Consider the following 22,823-nt stretch of genomic DNA (forward strand, 5'->3'; position numbering starts at 1 on the left):
ACAATACTATTTGATCAGTTATACTGTAATCTGCAAGGTACTGATTATATGTGTATGTATATATGATGGTATGCTATGCTGGCTGTTACAAATGACTAAGAAAGAAAATTTCTAACATATTTAACAAAAGGTTATGTTAAGATAGTCCAAGTAGTTATGGGCACAGAAATACTCTATGCTGGGTGCAGAGCCAATGGTTTTACGGCCAATAATAGAGTTACAGTTTTATTTTTTGGTTGATAAAATCTTTTATTCTCTGAGAATGGAGTGTAAATGGCAGAAAAAAGGTGTCTGGTGCACACATACTTACACGTCCTGTGTAAAGCAACTACCTGTGCTTTTGTTCACGAGGGAAGATAAGGATAGCTAAAACCAATTTAATTTTGAGTGATCTATTGGGAAGCTTAGTTATCCACCAATATCCCAGATCTATAAATTGTAATAGTTATATCCTAACTGATCCCTTCACCAGAGAAAGCTTTATCTAAAGCGTCTTGCATTTTGGGTACATAATGCTGAAGAAACTCACCAATTTACTTACGATTTGGCATTCTGGAAAACATATCTGAGAAAACTTCTCTGCTTTAAAAGATGAGGTTGTTCTGAAAACAAAGGAATTAGCTATGCATTAATATGTTCTGTGATTGTACCATGCACAGCACAGTTGCATTCCAAAATGAAATGACAAAAGGATACTTATCCTTTCTTTAGATATCTCATGTCAGGAGAGAAGAATGGAGTCTAACAGCTTTTTGTTTATTTACAGGAAATATGTGCAGTAAAGCAAAAACTATACAAAATGAAATATTAAAGCAGGTTTAATAACCATTTATTGATTTAATTATTTGTGAACTCTAAAGGGAGGGAGAAATGGGGAGATACTGACAGGCTTGTGTTTTCTTACCTTCAACCAACTCAAATTCATAGTATTCTGGCTGCAAAAATTTTCTCCTATTATTTTATGAATTAATCCAGGTTAAATATTCCTTTTTAGAGCATGTCGCGTTTCTGTTTTTTTCTTTTTTCTTTTTTTTGAGACAGTCCAGGGGTTCTCATTCTCTGAACTTTTCTTTCTAGGATCTAAAAACACATAATGGCTAATTGCAATAATTTTTTTTAATTTTTGCTTATTCAGTGTGCAGTGTTTATTTTGGAGCCGTATCCAAAATAGTAAAACAAATTAATGTATTTTTTTTTGTTTTTCACAGAACCATCTCCGGAGATAATTGCCATTAAATTAATGATGTAGGTTACTCCTCCCATTGATGCCCTGTGCCATGGCTTAGCATGATTTCATTTCCACTTTTCAGATTATGAGACTCAGACAGAATGTACAAAATTCACAGCAAGGTTTAGAGACACCTTGTTGAAAGCAAAACAAAGAGCCGAAAATAGCAAAGCCCACATCCCACTTTTACTTCACTTGTTTTTTTCCTCATTAGCACAGATTATTTTCCAGAAATGGCTTACCAGATGATTCTCTGGAAAACATCTTTTTAAAGTTCACTTTCTCTCTTTTGAGTTGGTTCTAATTTAGGATGATTGGAAATGTTAATTATTACCACTGCTCCATTAGGTACCTCAACAAGCACCTTCCGAGAGCCAAAAGGAATCTGTTTCTAAAGTGGGGTTTGTGTAAAAAACAGTTCACCTTAAGATACTACCATCCCTATTAATCTTGCAACAATAAGTAATTAAAATTTAGAAATTCATATAGGATATCTAAAATGCAATTGAAATAACACGTGTAATTAAGAGAATGTGAACCTAGCTTAAAAAGCCACAGCAGCTAAAAAAACCACTGTATGTTTGTATAGAGCTCATATATTACTTTCAGCAAATAGTTATATCATCCTCACTATGCATGAAGCACTGTATTAAAGCCCAAGAATTTCAAGAAGAGTAATATGTGGTCCTTAAGTTTAGGTAGCCAGAGTCTGATGGAGAGATATTTACAAGTGAATAATTTAAGTAACACATAAGAACTATGTAATAGAATCATGTCCATGATTCTTGGGAGATGAAGAGGTGGACTTCCTTTTCCCTGATTGGGAAAAGGGTTCAGGAGACAACTTGGATGAAGAAGTGATACTTGGAATGAATCTTAAAGATTGATTAAGCGCTTGCTAAATGGGCAAGAGGAAGAAAAGTATTCCAGGCAGAAGGACCAGCAAGAAAGAACATGACTCATTCAGTGGATAGTGGGACATTAAGATGTCAATGGTAGTAGGTAAGGATGTTTACAGGAGACAGGTACAGGTCAGATCCTGAAGGGACTAGGTTGTCTTTTGTTGTTGTTGTTTGGTTTTGTTTTTTCCTATATTGTAGAATTTTGTCTTTGTGGCTCATTTAAAATAGAAGATTATAAAAATTAACTTTTGTCGTGGTCCAAATGTTTATGTTTCCCCCAAGTTCATAAGTTGAAATTCTCACTCCTGGTGTCATTGCATTAGGAGGTGGAGGCTTGAGCAAGTAATTAGGTCATGAGAGCAAAGCCCTCCAGTGGAATTCAAACCCTTATAAAAGAAGACAAAAAGAAACTCTTTACCTCTTCTGCCCTATAAGGACTCAGTGGGAAAACTGTCTGTGAGGAAGCCAGCCCTCACCAGATACCTAATCTATCAGCACCTTGATCTTGAACTTCCCAGCCTCTAGAATTGTGAGAAATAAACTTTGTTGTTTATAGGCTATCTGCTTATGGTATTTTATTATAACAGCCCACATGGACTAAGACAACTTCTTTTTCAGAATGAATACTCTAGTGAGCACTGTGGAGGTTATACAAGGATAGAATGAAACTTTGAGGAGGTCCAATCAGAAAGCTATTATAATAATCCAGGTAAGAGATGAAGTGGGCACGAACTAAAGAAGCAACAATGAAAATACGAAAGCAGCTGAATTCTAGAGATATGCAGCAGTCAGAATTGACAATACTTGATGTCTGAATGGATATGAGAATTAAAGAAAAAGGAATTAAAAAGGCTTTTTATATTTGAAGGTTGGGCAACTGGATGAATGTTGGTTCCCAACACCAAAATAGTGTATAGGAAGAAAATATGATTAAGATGTGAGGTGGTTGCCAGAGTTTATATTTTATTTTGTGTATAATTCTTATTGTAGGAGGAAACTGAGGCTCACACTTGAGAATTCAGAACGGATCCTAGGACTTTAAACTTACGGTTTATTTTCCAGTCTGTTTCCTTTATCCTAGATTCTCCTGTACTATTCACTGGTATTGCTGAACATATTTCTAAATCCGTCTTTGTTCAAGGCTGCAGGTCCTTTCTTCCCTGGTAACCTCCAGTGATTTACTGCATGTTCAAATGTTTTTTGTTGAAATTACAAAAATGTTGGATTATAGTCATGTAACTCATTGAAAAAAAATAGAAAATTGGAATCCAGAAGGTGATTTGACAGAATTATTAGAAAATTGGTGGGACAGTGAATGTAGCAGTAATTCATTATAGAGACCCTCTACAGACTGCTAGTATGTATTATAGCATATTGGACAAAGTACTAACTAGATTTTAAACTGCAGACTAGAAGATTCAGTCAGCAATTGATGAAACTATTGAAACAATAGATAGCCTAATCACTGTGTTCTATTGATTTGGATGATATTTTTCATAGTCCTTCCTTTCCTCTGGAATGGGAAATGAATTAACACAGTTGCCTTATGTCCCCCTGAGTAGGTGCAGTAAATTTTATAAATTTACAATTGTGTTGTCATCTCCAAATCTCACAGCCAGGGTCAGATTATTTTTGTGATGCAGTTGTGATCCTGCAAGCACACCATGCAATACACAATTAATAACAGGGCCTAGATAGAGATGGCTGAATTAAGTATCCCATGGTTTCCTAGGCTAGAGAGACTAAGCAACTGTAGAATGATATAAATGCTTTTCCAACTTTGCTTACTGCATAAATTCCATCTGTATTTCTCAGGCAATTTCTCATCTCAATGTGATCAGATGTTACATGTGCTTGGGGACATAGTTATATTATGTCACTTTAGGCAAAATTAGAAATAAGCCAAGCTTATCTTGGCATCCAATTTGCACCTTTCCCTGCCTTTTTCCCAAGCTACTCTGCCTGGTCTCCTACTCCAACCTCTCCAGACACTCATTATTGTACTTTGCTCTTATTTTCTCCATCCTCAGTCTATTAAAAGCATTTTTTTTTTTTTTTTTTTTTTTTTGGTCAGGCGCAGTGGCTCACATCGGTAATTCCAGCACTTTGGGAGGCCAAAGTGGGCAGATCACAAGGTCAGGAGTTAGAGACCAGCCTGGCCAATATGGTGAAACCCTGTCTCTACTAAAAATACAAAAATTCGCCAGGCGTGGTGGCGGGTGCCTGTAGTCCCAGCTACTTAGGAGGCTGAGGCAAGAGAGTCGCTTGAACTGGGGAGGTGGAGGGTGCAGTTAGCTGAGATAGCGCCACTGTACTCCAGCCTGGGTGACAGAGAGAGACTCTGTCTCAAAAAAAAAAAAAAACTTTTTTTCAAGAAGGCACTAGAAACACTCCTTCACGCTAGGGCTTATATTTCTGATAAGACTTAAAGCATTACTCCTCTTTGTTAGATCAGTTTTTCCTTCAGCCATAGGAACTAGAAGTTCACAAGTGTAGGACTACAAGGTGCCAACAAACAAGTGGGTGATGGGGACACCACTCTAATTCTCTCCCCTGGTCAGACTACCATCACCAGGCTCCTATTAACCATCAACATTGTAAGACTGATAGTCTCCTTGCCTCTCTGCTTTTGCACCTAGGAAAAGTAAAGTATGCTAAAAGTGATTCGGATGTCCAAAGTGGCTCCCTCACTCTCTCCTCCCTACCAGACACCAGCAGCCTGTGGGGATATTCCAGGAGACTTTCTACTGCTCTATCAGCTCTCTCCACTGTATTTTGCTTGCTTGTTTTTTGTTGTTTATTTTTCCAGTAGGCCTCATGATTCAAAATGATGTCCTTCTTTCGTCTTTAAATGTTCTGATACATTCTGTCACTTGGAATGCTTCTTCCATTCAAATGGATTTCTTCTTTCCTCCATGTACTTCAGGCTTTCTGTGTTAGAAACAAATAAACAAACCTGCTAAAAAGTTTTTAATGTGGCTTAATGTTCACTCCTACAGGGCAGCATGCAACTGACAAGAAGAACAACAAAGAAGGGTAAGTTCTAAGGAATAGCCCCTTTGAAGCCTCAGAAAGAGTGGTTTCAATGTTCCACTTATAAAATCACAGAGCTGTCTTTTTTCCTGGTTCAGAAAAAAACAAAACTCAAGTTGAAAGCTGTATGTGGAAAAGGCAAAATTTTTATTGTTATTTCATTAAAACTAAGGTTAGAAAACTGAAAAAAATAGAAACATGGTAAATAGCATTTTTAAAGGAAGTAATAAAAACCTTCATAAATAAAATTATATATTTTCCTTTTTCCTACATTTAAGAAATACATTAATCTAGTTTTACTGATTGATTAAATTTAGGACATATGCCCAAAATAATCTAAAATTTTTATGAAGGCATCATTAGAGGAACTTGAATATTCTTAAATATATAGTACTTAACCAAATATAATATAAGCAATCATTAAACAGATGAACACTTTTATTCATTTCTTTGTTCCTAAAGATGTTTTTCTACAAAATCATGTAACATTGATGTCATAAAATACATAAATATGTATTTACTTAGAATATATTCACTGTTGAGCTGAGATTGCATCACTGTACTCCAGCCTGGGTGACAGAACGAGATTTTGTCTCAGAAAAAAAAAAAAAAAAAAAAAAAAAATATATATATATATATATATATATATGTATATATATGTATGTATCTATATATATATTCACTGTCACAGACAAAGGTTTTATTCTTCTCTAGGTATTCCTCCTTAGAGCCACTTTTTTCCTCAAAAATTCAAATATTCAGGAAAGACAATGCCTATGGTGACTAGGAGGAACAGGACTAGTTTAAACCAACATAAAATGTCCTCATCTGTCCTCTTAGCTGAAGTTAGTTAGGTTTTAGTGGTTATTTTCATCTTAGAAATGTATACCCAGAAGACCTAACATAATTTGTCTAGATAGAAAATTTTCAAACATGTTTATGCCAAATTATTTTTCCCCTATGATTTTCAATCCCAAATTGTCATGTAAATTCTAAAAATATGACTCCTGAGAATTTAGCAAAACCTAATTTCTCTTCAGGAATCTTTAGCAGAACATTGTGTGGACTTGATCAAGGAAAGACTTCATTTGTCAAATGGCTCAAAGCCTTCCCCAACTTCCACCCCTCTTACAATATCTTAGTATAAAAATCTTCAGGAGCTGAAAGAGGAAGAAATCCAAAACTAGTAGATGCCCATAGATGACAAACAGAAACAGAATCACCTTCTTCCATAAAGAGTTATTACCTTTGTGCCATGAAGGCTGATGGTGAATAAAGCATAACTTTTGCATTTGTCACATGCTACAGCCATCTTATGAAACATAATTTTCTGACTGTTGGTCAAGAAATCGACGGAGTATTTAAAAGACTTTGGAAATAACTTACTTAATGAAGGGATTATTTACAGAATTGGTGGCAGATTTACAAACACCAACCAGGGATGATGAGACGCCTAGGGATTAGCAATAGCAGGGAGCCATTTACCTTCCCTGTGCCTAAAGGAGCAAGGGAAGTAAAATTTGGATCTATAGGAGAGTGGCAGTCCTACAGTAGCTGTGGCCATAGAGGGATGTAGCCACTGGCACTGTTGGTACTGGGCACAGAGCTCGGGGAGATAGAGGCCAACTAGTAAAACACCATGCTTTCTGTTCTCCTTTTCTCTGATCCCCTATCAGTGTCTCTTATTGGTTGACTCCAAAGGGAAGCTTGGAAGTGAAAAAGCAAAGGAGATGCAGTCCACAGGGGTCAGCCTCCCTAATTACAAGCAGGGCACAGAAGGACAAACCTTGGATTATGGGGTTTTGGGGTTAAAAGAGAGTAACAGAATAACTGGTATGTTTGCATTGCTGTCTTTCTCATTGGGAGTAACTTGACATGAACTTCAAGGTTGAAGATAATATGTTTGATGCAGAGAGAACTGAGAAGTGGGAAAAATAATTGTAAGCCTTGTGCCTTTTTTCCTATTAGAAAAAAATACAGATTTTTAAATTTCTATTAGTGTTAAAATTTGTTTTCTAAGCATTAAAATGGTTAAAAAGAAAAACATGTTGGTTGTAAAAAAATTAAGCAAGGCAACCTATAAAGTCCCCTTTCACCTATGCTTTTCATTCCTTTATTTCTTCATAAATTCATTCATGGTGCTATTCGTTCAAAACATTTTAGCTAATAATAATAGCTCACATCTATAAATATGTGCCAAACAGACCTCAAAGTGTTTTATTTGTATTTAATCATCAGAACATTAAAAAAGTGCTACTATTATCCCAGTATGGCTAAAATAAAGTTAAGTAAATTGCTGAAGGCATAGAGTTGTTAATAGAAGTGGAATTGAAACACAGGCAGGTTGATTCTAAAGTTTTTGTTCTTAACCACTCTGCTGTGTTGTGATGAACAGATATTTACTGAGCACCCACTATGTGGCAGGGACTTTTCTAGGCATTGAACATACAGGGATAAAAACAATAAACTATGTTCCTGCTTCATGGAATATATCTTTCGGTGGTAGGTATAAGCAATAACCAAAGGCATTAATGTGCTTATAATTTCAGGTTGAAATAAATGCTATAAATAAAAATAAAGTAAGGTAAAGCATTAGAGGGGATAGGGGCTATGTTTTAGGATGAATAGGGCAGTCTCTGTAGCGATGATATTTGAATGATCTCACATCATTCATCAGAAACAAATGGTTTAAGAAAGGTACTTATGAAAAATGTGAATAAAAAATTTTCCAGACAAAAAGAAGAGTAAATGCCACAAGCCATAAGCTGTTGAAAGATAAGTAAAGCCAGTAAAGGTGTGAAGGGACACTAAATTGTTAATAAAAACTGATATGGTATTTATATCAGGTTCTGTTCTGGGGATTTTACTAATATTAACATTCAGCTTATTACAATAATATGAAGAATATCCTGTCGTATTCCCTAATTTATACACAACATAACTGACACTCACTGCCACATAACTAGTAAGGTAAGGATCTAGATTTCAAACCAAGGCAATATGGCTGGTTGATAGTGTCTCAACTATTCTGACACTGTTCTTCCCAGATTGATTCTCTAATTCACTACTGTTTTCCCTTCAATCATCTGTATCTTTATCTAATTTAAAATTTTTATAAATGATTCCTCAGAGTTGTTTTATTATTCTTCATTTTTAAAATTATCTATATTTTACATTTCTTTTTGTTCTTTGTTTTTTTAATAGCATCCTTTGTTTTAGTTTGTGGATAGATATACTGTAGATTTTGAAGATTTGTTTTGTTTTTGCTGTCCACATTGTCTTTGCTTATTTTTATTTTGTTTTTTTAGTAATCCTTGGAATTTCTTACATGGATTATTTTCCCAAAAGTCAAGTGAACCTTGGCTGTTTATTTGAAGAGGAAGACACCAAAAATTTGATTGGAGGCTCTGGATGAGTACCAGATTCACACCAGATTTTGAGGTGGTGAGCCAGTTTCTTCCTTGTGAGACAAGCAAATAACAATATATTTTTACTCTGGGTACATTTAATTTTTGTAGAGATGAATAGTTCAATCTCCTTCATGGTAGTGGTAAGGATAGGTTTTATATTTAGCTATTGGCATTCCTGAAACAGAATAAGATGCCATGGTCTTATAGTTCAGTGTGTAAACTTTCACAGCTTTTGCAAGTTTTCAGCCCAGTGTTAGCCCCCAATCACTGTGAATGTCCCCAAGTACAGAGCTTCTTTGGTTTTACTTTTCTGGTTTTATAGTGAGACAAAGGCATTCTGGGAAGTATAGCCAATTGAAATTGAGGCTTTAACAAATATTTACTGAGCACCTATTCTGTCATACACTTTTCTAGATGCTGGAAATACAGCAAGGAAAAATAAGTACACCATTACCTGAAGTCTTCTATTGCTTGTATAGTTCACTTTTTTAAACAGCTTGATGGACATTCTATTAACCATCCTGGCAATTGTGTGTGGTGTGAGGTAGTGATCTAACATCTTTTATAAAAACTAAATATTTAAATTTTATGTGTTGAAGGTATTTGTTTTGTTTTGCTCTTTTTGATTTTGATGCATGCATTTAATTTCAGAATATGGTTTATTTTTCTTGAATCACCAGAGAAACATCCATTTTACTCATTTTAACACCATCTCTTTCTTAAGTTAATTCTGTTTCTTTGGAGTTTTTCAGTTTGTTGATATTGATTTGTCTCTTTTATTGATGTGGCAACATTTTCTCAAAATATAGAAGATTGCTTTTATTTTTACATCGTGTGAAGAAGGAGGCATATTACTTTTTGAAAGATGGAGTGTATTTCTTAAGCAGTAACAAGTCATGCTCTTTATGTGACATCATTTTTTTATTATAGTAAAGTTTTCAGGTGATATTTGAGAGAGAGAGTCTGGATATGAGGTTGCATATAGTGAATGAATTATCACAAACACTGCTTTGATTATCAGGCCCTAGCAACCATGGTCACTCTAAGAGTGTCCTGTCAGAACTATGACTTTAGAGAGCAGTGTTGAGTGATTTAGCTTTGGTTCCTGTTCTTAAGTTGGCTGCTCTGAGTGTAGGGACCTACATTTAATTAATTTTATTTTGACAACGTCTCATGTTTTTCATCCTTCATTTCTTCTGTTCCTGGTTCTCTTCAGAGTTCTTTTAGGAGATAAATGTGTTTTGTTGTTTTCTTGCCGTTAATGTTTCCTTTCTTTCTTTTGTCTTTTTCTGTATTTAAATGCTCTCTGCCTTCTGGTTTCTATTTGGAGTAGTATGTTCTTCTGTTTTTTTAAGTAGATTTTGCTCCCAGTCTACAGTCATCTGCTTTATGCCATCTAGAATAGCCTCACTCTCTTAGTTTGCTCGTGATTATTGTGTGTTTCTCATGACTTTGCATTAAAAATATATTTATTGTGTAATTTCCTCTGGATTTAAAGAGGGGAAGATAGATTTCTGGAACTTTTCTTTCTTTCTGATATATCCTTTCTCCCTCTTTCTTTACCATCAATGACTTACTCTACCTGCCATTTATCTTCGCCTATGATTTAGAAGGTATGTAAGATGTTTTAATTTTAGTATTGTTTGTCTTTTTACCTGTGTTTGTTAATATACTTTGAGATTTGATACTCAGATTCTTGTCATCAAATCATAACTATAATTTATTTCTCCTCTTAAAATATAATTTTTTAGTTTTGCTTTTCATTTTTAACCATATTTGCAAGTTTACTTTAAAAAGAAATCTGAGAAATCGTGCTCTGATAATGTGAGAGTTGTAATTCATAGCATAAAAGGATAGCTCTCCATCTCTATATAGAGTGATTTGTTTTTCTTAACTGGGTCTATCTTTGCAGTTAGTAGAAATACCTTATGTTAATCAGTTCTAAATTTCAATGGATATCCTTTATTTCTTCTAACTTCTGGGATTTTTAGGGAAAGTTAGGAGAGGTTTCATCATGGATGCTCACCAAACAGTACTTCCTTATTCATCCCAATACCGAGTGCCTTTATAATGTAGACTTTTAATAGCTAAGCATTAGATTAATATTATTCCTCACCTTATACTCTTTTATTGTCTCAATACCTTGTTAAAGTCTCCTCTAGTATAGCTTGAGAAGTAAAGCTGAAAGACTTTATGCTCGTATTATTTCTTCAATGTTATTGATCTCATCTGTTGTTTTAAAAATATGTTTAAGGGAAATATTTATTTCCCTGGAAGGAAAAAGTGGCTCTTACAGTGCAACTAGATGATCTTAAATGCCTCCAATACATGTAGTGGCCAGTTGCTGGCAGAAGCAGAAGCACAATGTTTAAAAAATGGTGCATTGTATTCTTATAGATACATCTTCAAATTCTATTCATACTGAGTCAGCTTGATGAAAACAATAAAATCTTTAAGGAATAGTTTGTTTACCTCTTGCCCAGAACATTATAGCTATAACATTATAGTTCTGCTATTGTATTATGTTAGATACATAGATTAAATGATCTAAATGATAAAACTCAAGCATTTAAAGTGAAAGTACAAGAAGATAAGTTGTAGATGAAATATAATCAAGTTGAAAATAAGTATATTTTATATGAGCTTTTATATTAATTAAAGGTTCTTGTAAGAATTTGTTTAAAAAGAACAAATGTTAATATAGTAATATTAATATATATTTCCTTGCTATTATTACTTATGTAAGTATGGAAATTTAATTTTCTCAAAAACATGTAGTTTGATACACGTTCCTTTCTTCAATTCGTAGTCTTTCTCTGAGCCTTCCCTGGAAAGAAATCATGTCTAATAGTGACCATACAATAACACCATCAAGACACAACTCATTATTTATGAAAACTTCACTTCTCAGTAAATTATCTGAAATGTTTGATAGCTAATTTCTGCCAAACATTGTACATTTTCCCCTCATCAAATAAAACTATTTCCAAAGTACACAATAATCTTTTTATAGGATAGCAATTTGAATGGAAGTTAGTTTTTTTATACTTTTATTTTTACAACATGGTTAAGAGTAATTTTCTCTAAGTGGCATAAAGGCAGATTTCCTCAAGCAAAATCAAGCTAGTTAGCTACTGTTGCATGGCTACTACAAAGGCGGAAGAGTTCTGGGTGGTATAAAGGGAACTTCTGGACAAATACATTCTTTTAAGCCTCTTTAGTATCCAGTAACATTATCTCTAAATACAAAAAAGTCAATCTGATCCACAAAAAGACTGTGGCATGCAGATGTATGCAACTGATTTAAGAAAATTATGAAGTTTCTTAATGCTGTAGAATGAAATATAGAAAAGCTTGAATGGGCTTTACAAATTATACCATTGAAATGAAATGTGATAATAATGTCTGCCAACCAAATTCAGTGTTCTCTTTGTGTCACTAAAATCAAATGTGCAAAATAAAGCCTCAACCAAACAGTAATGTTTGGGATTCCTTAGAATGGTTTGTACAACATTTATAAATGTTCTAAGGAAGTCAGTTTAGTTAGTAGCTGGAATGCAATATTATTTCAAAGCCCACACTGATCTTTATCTTAAAACCAAATGTCACTCAGAATCTAACATAGAGAAGAGTTTTTTTCAAATTAAATCGTGTTTTAAGATGTAGTGTAATGTTTAACAACTCAAGGCAGGACTTGAGTCAATGTTTATATACTCAAATTTATATTCTTCACTGATTCTATTTGGAAATATGTTCTTAAAAATGGACATTGCCACAGTAAATGCATTTCCAATGAACTGGTTTTATTACATTTAACATATAAATTCTTCATCACTAGGCATGCTACTGACTTTTCATGTTGCTTACATACAGAAAGAGGACAAACATATTAGAGTAAAATGACTGTTTGATCTTCATGACAATTATATTTCTCCTTGTAAGTTCATAAATGATTATTTTGACATGTCATTATCAATGTATCTAACAGAGCCTGGCATACATATAGTAGGTGAAATATATATATATATATATTTCATGTTTGTGTGTATATATTATAAAAATATACAACTGTGTATATATGTGTGTATATGCATAGTGTATGAAATATATATTTCACATACATATATGTGAAAAATATACACACACATATATACATGCACACACATATATACATAAATATATGTGAAATATATAAAATATATGTACATACATTTGAAATATATATTTTATATTTACCATAAAATATGCTATATATACTATATATACACACATATATTATACACACATATATATTTCATTTGTTTTTGCTTTCATTTGTTTATTTCTGCATAGAATCCTATAATTCTATATACAGCATCAACTAAAAATCCCAATTACCCTATGTTTAGGCACATTGACATGACTTATTTTCTGAGTTATTAAAGTAAAGAGACTGACTTTAGGCACTACTGAGTTCACCAAGTTAAAGGCCATCTTGGAAAGATCTCTCTTGGTGGCCAGTTATCTTCTCCTAGGTGACACTACTGATTTTTTATGATGATAATTATACCTTGACATAACACATAGAGTGGGTATGGTTTAAAGGTTTTATATGGATATTCCTTAATAAGTAGTTTGTTACTTGGAGATAAATGGTAATTCATAGCAATATATTTAACTGCATAACTGAGACTTTTTTAGAAAGTAGAATATCCTTCCTACTTCCTAAAAATCTTGAGATTGAGAGACCCTTAAGCTAAAAAATCAAATAAAGCTTTTGTCCAACATAGATAAAACATAGACATAATTTACCATCACCCTCACCTGCTTCTATTCTGAAATGACACAAAATGGACAAACACAATGGTTTCCAGAAAGTGACCATCAGACAATGAAGAATGATAATTTCTAAGTGATGGGAAACACATGAGATGAGCCCAGTTATATAGCTTATTCTCTTGAGCTACCAGAGTAGGGCACAGGGAGAGGATGCACAGGCAAATCCCAGTAAACTCTGCCTCGAGCACATGAAGAGTTCATAAAGAGCATACAGGAGAGTAGAGAGCTGTGGTTAGAAAGAATTTCAGGGAACTACAGAAAGTCTCTTCAAGCATTCAGCTAATCATCGAGTGAGTGCATATGAAGAAACTATGCAAGCCTGGGGGATGAACTTCCCAAAAGGATGTGAGGGAACAACGACACAGCAATACACGAGGTTTAGAAGATTGCCTGTACGCACCAGCCAGATTGGAAGATCTCATGATTCACAGTACACAGCATAGAGTACTCATAAAAATTTTGTCTCAATACTTGTAATTTCCTCTAGACTGGGCATGACTCTGTTTATGACTAATAAACCATAAAAACCCAAGTGTTTAAAGCCCTTCCAACAAACAACTTTTTCCTAGAAAAAAAATCTGTAATACAGAAATATAAACATATTCAAAATATAACAAGATTAACAATTTCTGACATCCAACCAAAAATCATTAAACATTTAAAGAAGCCAGAAAATGCAAACCAAAATGAGGAGAAAAACTGACCCACAACTGTCAGAAATGTTAGAATCAGCAAACGATGACATTAAAATATTATAACTTCATTTCATTTTTTCCAAAATTTAAGGAAAGATATGAAGGATATATATTTAAAAATCCCAACTCAAACTTCTAGAAATGAAAACAACAGCATATGGGGTGGAAAATAACTGCACTGATAATGGAGTTGATGTGGCAGAAGAAAAGGGAAGTGAAATTTAAAGCATAGCAATAGAAATGATCCAAACCACGAGCAAAGAGAATAAAAATAAATAAACAAAAATGAGCACAGTGTCAACGAAATGTTGGACAACTTTTAGCAGCCTAAACATATGTATACTTGGAGTCCTCCATGGGGCAGAAGCAAATAAGAGAGAAAGGAGGATTAGGAAACAAAATATTTGAAGAAGCAATATCAAAATTTATCTACATTTGATCATAGCTATAAACCCATAGATCTAAAAATCCCAATGAACCCCAAACACAAGAAATAGGAAGGGAACTGCACAAAGGTAAATTATAATAAAATTGCTCACATCCAGCAATAAAGACAGACTCTTGAAAGTAGTTATAGATACATTATGTGCACAGGAACAAACATAAGGATGACAGATTTCTTGCTGAAAACACTGCAACTACATATGTACAAAAACTCTTGTATATAAATGTTCCTAGAGGCTTTATTTGTAATATTCCAAAACCGGAAACAAACCAAATGTTCATCAGAAGGTGAATATGTACCAAACTGTGGTATATTCATGCGATATCCATGCAATGGAATACTACTTAGCAATGAAAAGGAATGAAATATTGACACATGCTATAAGATGGATGAATCACAAAATAATTATGCTGAGCGAAGAGGCCTGACCGAAAAGAAGTAGAGATGACCCTTGAATAACACAGGGGTTAAGGGAACCAACCCCCTGTGCAGTAAAAAAATCCATGTATAATTTTTGATTTCCCCAAAACTTAACTACTAATAGCCCACTATTTACTGGAAGCCTTACTAATAACATAAACAGTCAATTAACACATATTTTGCCTGTTATATGTAATATATCACCATAAAGGTCTTCATCCTCGTTGTCTTTATGTTGGGTAGACCAAGGAGGAAGAGAAAGAGAAGTTGTTTTTTTTGTCCTGGGGTGGCAGAGGCAGAAAAGGTAAAGGAAGTGGAAGAGGAAGCAGGAGAGGCAGACAGGAATATTCAGTGTAAATTTTGTTTTAAAAAAATCCATGTACAAGTGGACCTGTGAAGTGCAAGCTCATATTATCCAAGGGTCAACTGTACATATTTTGTGTTTTTTATTTACATAATTTCTAGAAAATAAAAATTTACGAATAGTGACAGAATGTTGTTTAGTGGTTGCCTGGGGATGGAGTAAACAGTGACTGGAGGGACATCTTTAAAGGGTCCCAAGGAAACTCTTTAATGTGATGAATGTTTCATTATCTGGAGTGTACTAATGGTTTCACAGGCATATGCATTTGTAAAAATATATCAAACTGTATAGCTAAATATGTGTAGTTCAACACATGTCAATTACAATACAATAAAACTATGGGGGTTAGTGATTAAACTTACTGTTAGGAAAAAATTACCTCAATACATTTGCACATATATATATATATATGCACATATACACAAACACACACACATACATAGATATACATACCACCAAAAAAGTCAATATAATTTAATCCAATTATTGGTAAATCTAATTATTAAGAAAACTGTAAATTAAAAAATTAAAGATGTAAGAATCTAGATGTATAGAATAATGTAATTTTACAGCTGGAAGCAATCTTAGAAACTACCTAATTTGAAGTCCTCATTTCTTGAGTCATAGTCTTATTTATTTATTTATTTATTATTATTATATGTTAACTTTTAGGGTACATGTGCACAATGTGCAGGTTAGTTACATATGTATACATGTGCCATGCTGGTGCGCTGCACCCACTGACTCTTCATCTAGCATTAGGGATATCTCCCAATGCTATCCCTCCCACCTCCACCCACCCCACAACAGTCCCCAGAGTGTGATGTTCCCCTTCTTGTGTCCACGTGTTCTCATTGTTCAATTCCCACCTATGAGTGAGAATATGCGGTGTTTGGTTTTTTGTTCTTGTGATAGTTTACTGAGAATGATGATTTCCAATTTCATCCATGTCCCTACAAAGGACATGAACTCATCATTTTTTATGGCTGCATAGTATTCCATGGTGTATATGTGCCACATTTTCTTAATCCAGTCTATCATTGTTGGACATTTGGGTTGGTTCCAAGTCTTTGCTATTGTGAATAATGCCGCAATAAACATACATGTGCCTGTGTCTTTATAGCAGCATGATTTATAGTCCTTTGGGTATATACCCAGTAATGGGATGGCTGGGTCAAATGGTATTTCTAGTTCTAGATCCCTGAGGAATGGCCACACTGACTTCCACAATGGTTGAACTAGTTTACAGTCCCACCAACAGTGTAAAAGTGTTCCTATTTCTCCACATCCTCTCCAGCACCTGTTGTTTCCTGACTTTTTAATGATCGCCATTCTAACTGGTGTGAGATGGTATCTCATTGTGGTTTTGATTTCCATTTCTCTGATGGCCAGTGATGGTGAGCATTTTTTTCATGTGTTTTTTGGCTGCATAAATGTCTTCTTTTGAGAAGTGTCTGTTCATGTCCGAGTCATAGTCTTAGAATTTAAGAAAGCTGGAAGAAGCTGTGTGAAATAGCCTACCCATATTTATTATGTTGCAAATAGTGAACCCAATTCCATAGAAGCATGCTGCCTTGTGAGAAAATATCTCCTGATTAGTCTAGAGGTGTTTCCATTTTTATCATATTATCTCAATTAATTTATATATGCTATTCTTGTATATTTTCAATTACGTCTTTCTCAGAATGCAAAGTTAAATTGCCATTGACTTTACCTCAGTTAATCGTCATTGTTAAATTGCTATCATTTGTCAGCTGATGAAAAATTTAAATGCCTCATTTAGGAGCACATCATTATTTCAGCAAATTTATGACATTGTGTATCTATTTTCATACAGTCTTTGAGCTTTATATTCCTAACAAAATGTCTTTTTGGACTTCTTCTGTCTTAGATGGTTTGAACAGCCACAATTCTTGTTTTAGGTATTCTTATCTAGTCCTATTGCTTGATCTCTTGACTGTTCAAAAATCTGAATTCTATGATTTTGTTTGTACTTTAATTTATACCTGCAAGGCTGATTTTGCCAAAGTCTTAATCATTCCAATCTGTTGCTCAAAACCTGGTCAGGATCCACTGTTTCTTTTTTTAAATGTTATGTTTTCACATAATGGTAAAGAACTTCCATATCCAAACTCAAATTACCTTTATGGCCTTCTTTATTTCTACGCTTCTGCATGTAATAATTTGGACTGCTTGTATTTACTTAAAAGAAAATGTCAGATATTTATTTCATTTGCCTAAAATATTTCTCATTTTGATATATAGTTGTTGAGATCACACTAGTCTTCACATTCCAGACTAAATACCACCATCCACCATCTCAAACAAGCATCGCCTGTTCATACAAACCACAAGTAATATCTCCGTTCCTTGTATTTAATTCTGCTGCCTTGCCTTAGAATATGCATTTGATTTTGACTAAAATATCTACATCTGCCAGCATATAAATAGAAATAAAAATTTAAATACAACTTCCTGTATGTTCAGCTAGGGATAGCATATGATAAATGTGATTATAACACAGGAAGTAAACCTAAAAGGATGTAGTCCTCATTAATCTTGTAGTCCTGAACAATGTATAAATTGTTTTCCGCCCTCCAAAATGCAGAATATTTTGTGTAATTCCTTGTATTTCTCTCCTTTCTGCTACAGAATATAAAATAGAGAAAAATCCATTTCTGGTGCTACCAGATAGCAACAGTAGTCCTAAATTGGTGTAAAACCATATGATAATTAACAGAAAAAACAACTACACAAACTTCTTTGATGAAGACTCAGTGATAAAGCCAAAGTCTTGAGCAATTGTATACAGATGTTGAAAATGTTCAATTTTTGCTGTCTGTACAAATATGAAACATACAAAGCTATCAGAAGTAGTCCACCAAAGATGATTCAGGTATGAAAAGAATGAAAACCTATAAGGTATTCATATCTGAAGGAGGGTGGGATGAGGGAGAGGGGCAGAAAAAATAATTATTGGGTACTAGGCACCGTATCTAGGTGATGAAATAATGCGTACAACAAACCCCTGTGATCCAAGTTTATCTAAAAAGTAACCTGCACATGCACCTGTGAACATAAAATAAAAGTTAAAAAAAAGCATAATAAGTCATTTTCTAACTGAGGAGACTATAGGGTACCAGGTTGCATTTCATTTTTTCATGAAATAGCTATACTCACATTAACTGTTATTTGTGCTTTGGGGAACACTTTTTTTTTCCACTCTGAGTCATGTAACGTCAAAGGCAAAATGAGCAGTAGTGGCCGGTGGTCTAGCTTTGGTTGTAGGTCTCCTCTGCCTTTCATCTACCTACCTCTAATCTTAAGAAAGGTATTGTCCACATGATCTTGGTATTCTCCCATCATTCCACACTGGTATTTTAAGACAAAAACCAGAATGATAAAACTTACTTATTTGCTGGTCCAGGAATTCTATACTCTTTGTGCCTCACATTGAAGGTTGTTGGTAAACTTTTAATTCCTCAAGATAATCACAGCACCTTAAATTTGCCTGTTTCTATAAGAGTGGGAGGCATTTTTATGTAAATAATCTCTTTTGATCATTATACAATATTTTGACGTAACTAATGAATTATTATTGTCCTCACTTTGCAAATGTTCTGAGCCAGGCCTTGTGATTAGTGTTGTCGATACGTTATTGAATAAAATTGGCATGGTTTCTTTCCTCATGAAAATTAGAGTTCTATAAGCAAAGTAACAAATTACAAAGACACTTTTCATAAAGCTTTCTCCAGGTGAAGGGATCAGTTAGGATTTAAGTATTACAAACTGTGCTAAGTCTTGTGAAGAAAGAAATAGGGCTCCAGAAAGAGAATAATAAGAGGAAAGTATTTTGTTTGGGGAGTCATGGAAACTCTCCCTGAGGTGGTGACCAGGAAGTTAAGATATGAGGTGCAAGAAAGACCCAGCCACATCAAGAGTTAAAGGGAAAAAAGGTCTCCTGATTCTGGGAATCACTGTAGGAATGTCCCAAAGTTATTCATCTAGTTAGGAAGCAGAGCTAAAATTTAGCAGAAATTTCTGAAAATGATAATTCACATTTGCCTAGCTCTTTTCAAAGTGCTTTCATGTGTATAATCTCATTTAATAATTATGCTATGAGGTGGAAAACTTGGAGAATGATTGATAGGTAGAAAATTTTCCATCCTCCTTTTGACTTAGATTCTATTATTAATTGTGAAGGAAAAAAATCTAAGATTAGGTAAAAGACATTCTGAGTGGCATATGAATTGTTTGTAGGTAAAATATTCAATAAGATATTTCCCATTTGTCAGTGTTGAGAGTGAAAGCATCCCCCAAATATTCAGAACATGTGATTAGATGCTAATCATTTGCCTTCAGTGAGCCCACACTGTGTTCAGAGCTTTAGGTGAAGTATTTTAAGGGAAAAATTGACTTCATAGAGCTATAAGTTAAGTTTTAAAACATTCTAAAAATCTTTAAATGAGGAATTAGGATACATACATACACATGTATAAATATTTCTAAGTGACATATGTGTGTGTGCATATATCCATGTGTATACATACATTTTTAAATTCTCTAAGCAATATGTACCGCCTATATACAAATGTGTAGGAATGTATACATGATGCTTACAGTTATTTTAAAGTGTATATATAAAAGACTGACCATAAATATGCTTTAAGTCACACAGTCTGTACCACATTTTTCTCCATCTATTAAAAATGACAATCGTATTAACTTGCCTATAATTAATATATCTTAGTAAAGACTATGACTGAAAAAAACATTAAAAGACAATACATTATTAAATTTCAAAAACATCAGGCCGTGAACTTTTGTAAAATAATTTATTCATGTAGACAATTTATTAAAGTAATCACTCATGTAGAATTTCAAAATATTATTTTTGTAAACTTTTTTGTGTTCTATGTTCAAATGCAGAAGTATGCATTAAATTGTTCATTTTATTATGTGTATTTTTCAGAAGTTATTTTAAATAACCTTCTTTTCAACGTACAGGAGATGTTATAGTCTTTACTCAGCAACTAGAGTGGTTCTTTTAAAACACAATGAACACATGAATAAAATGGGTTTAAAGAATGCCTACACACAGATGTGTAGAAATGCTAAGTATCAGTATACTGTTTAGTTCCAAAGCTCAAAACACTGCACTGGCAGACCCTCTCACCCAGTCAAAGCCTAAGTGTTCCAGAGGCCCACAGTACCACATAATTTGCTCTCCTGACAACTCTTATTTTATCTTCTAACATTTCCTGCTTGTATATTCTACAACAGCCACATTGGCATTCTTGGAACATACAAAAAATGCTCCTGTCTCATGGTCTTTCCACCTGTTCCCTCTGCCTGGAGGATTTTTTCCTCAAATAAACATTTGAGTCACTTCCTCATTTTCTTCAGAACTCCAGTCAAATGTCACCTCATCAGAGATGTCTTTCTGCACTACTGTTTAAAAATTGGACACATATTCTCCTAGTGTTCACTAGTTCTCTTATTCTGTTTTATTATTCTTCATGGTGCCTATCACCATTCAACAAATAATTTTAGTATTTTTTTTTACTTCTTCTATTGTAATATAAACTCATAAAGGGAGGGAGTGTGTCCTTTTGTTTTGTGTTAAGTCTTCATCCTAGGAGAAAGTGGACACTCAATAAATGTTTGTTGGGTGGTGGAAAGAGAGTGTTGTACAGAGAAGTAGTGAAAAGTTTTTGCTATCACACTAAACTCTTCATAGTAATGGGTTGCCTACCTAGTGACTATGTAGCAGTTTTTCTTATATTTCCCCCTTTGAGAAAAACGATGTAATCATTTGGCCAAGATGGAGATCTTTATGTATATAACATTCATCTCCTGTAACAAGGAGAGCAAACACTAATGAATGCAATGAGGAAAGCAGCCTATTTTCAGAGAAGTACACACATTTATTTACTTTTTAACTCTCTAGTAGGGGAAACAATCACAGACTATTTGATAAGCAAAGGACCTTAGATGTTACCTGAAACACCTTCATTAGCAGAAGGGAAAAATGACACATGTAGAGGCAAGAAAGACACAAAGCCAATGAATGGAGGAGCCAGCGTTACCTTCCATTCTTTTCTAATTATCAAACCCAGCCATACCACTGTGTCCTCATTTTCATTACAATGCCGAATAAAGTTACAAATCAATCAAAAATTTTTTACAAGTGATAGATAAATAAGGACAAGGGTAAAACAGTTTGTAGCTAGCAACCAATGGATAAACAATAAATTGCAATAACCAGAATAATTAGAGCCACAAGAAGGAATGTTGACAAATTTGCATATTCAGAAGAGCCAAAAATATTCTTATTAGGGTAGGTATCTGCTGGTCATAATCTTTGATCAAGAGGTACCATGTTTTGTCTTCAGATGGCCCCAAAACTTTTTTCATATATGGAAAGACCTGTTTACTAAAAAGTTTACTGGTGAATTTCATGTGTTTTTTGGGCTTTTATGCTTCGCAAGTCTCCATACACCATCTTGGTTATCACAGTTCAATTTTTATATTTGGTATAAAATTTGTCAACAATAACTGACATAAATATTTTTGCTAGAATTCATACTTATGAAAATGCTTCCAATTTAACTAGAGATGAAACAAAAAATTACAGATATAAAATACACCAATAAGATCAACAGAAGAAAACATAATGTACGCAAAATTCTAATTTCAATGTATATTATAAGGTTATGTGGTATCAAGAATGGCTGTAAGTCCACTTTAACAATGGGGCAGATCATTGTCTTCTTGGAATATTTATGTTGACTGTACTGAATTTTAACAGAAAGTTTGAGGATAGATGATCCTTTAGGGCTAATCATTTATTTTTTATAAATATGGAGCAAAGAACCAAATCCCTGTTCCTGCATGTTCCAGATGTTTGACCTCAGACAAGTTAGTTAACCTCTTTGTAAATGTTTTCTCCTGTATAAAATGGAGATGATGATAAAGTCTACCTGATAGGTTTGTCATGAAGATTAACTGATTTATTATATGCAAAGCACTTAGAACAATGCCTGGCACAGATAGGTACAATTGAAGGGCTTACTACTAACATTATTGCTACTACTTCTCTATTACTCTTACTGTTGTGTAGTTGCTGTTTCAGGGATTCACAGAAATTCAAAATATGAAAGTTTTACTTACTTTGGTTTTTGTTATTCCACTTTGGTTTTCTTCTAAACCTAGATTCTCTATTAGATCAAAAAAGTGGGCCAGAAGAGAGAGAGAGAGAGAGAGAGAAAATAGAGAGAGAGAGAGAATAGAGATAGTCCTGGACACAGGACCTGGCAAAGATTTCATGACAAAGACTTCAAAAACAATTGCAACAAAAATAAAAATTGACAAATGGGTTAAACTGAATAGCTTATGCATAGCAAAGCAAAATATCAACAAAGTAAACAGACAACCTACAGAATGGGAGAAAATATTTTCAAACTATGCATCAACAAAAGTCTAATGTCAACAATCTATAAAGAACT

The 22,823-nt window shown here is 33.9% G+C and overlaps 1 long non-coding RNA gene across 4 annotated transcripts in view; it reads right to left on the bottom strand.

Annotated features, from left to right (window-relative positions):
* Positions 1-22,823, bottom strand: part of LOC105373696 (uncharacterized) — a 104,051-nt gene that overhangs the window by 14,385 nt on the left and 66,843 nt on the right. Inside the window, exons 3-6 of one of the 4 annotated variants that reach the window (XR_007088683.1) lie at positions 4,836-5,061; positions 3,179-3,311; positions 905-1,080; positions 530-602 (exon numbers count right to left, since the gene is read on the bottom strand). This is a non-coding gene — a long non-coding RNA (uncharacterized LOC105373696). Of the gene's footprint in view, positions 1-529; positions 603-904; positions 1,081-3,178; positions 4,494-4,835; positions 5,062-22,823 lie in introns of those variants that run through there. The other 3 variants (XR_001739742.1, XR_007088684.1, XR_001739743.1) reach the window with 3 other exon arrangements.

The sequence above is a fragment of the Homo sapiens genome, chromosome 2 (genome assembly GCF_000001405.40).
Source record: "Homo sapiens chromosome 2, GRCh38.p14 Primary Assembly".
NCBI lineage: Eukaryota > Metazoa > Chordata > Mammalia > Primates > Hominidae > Homo > Homo sapiens.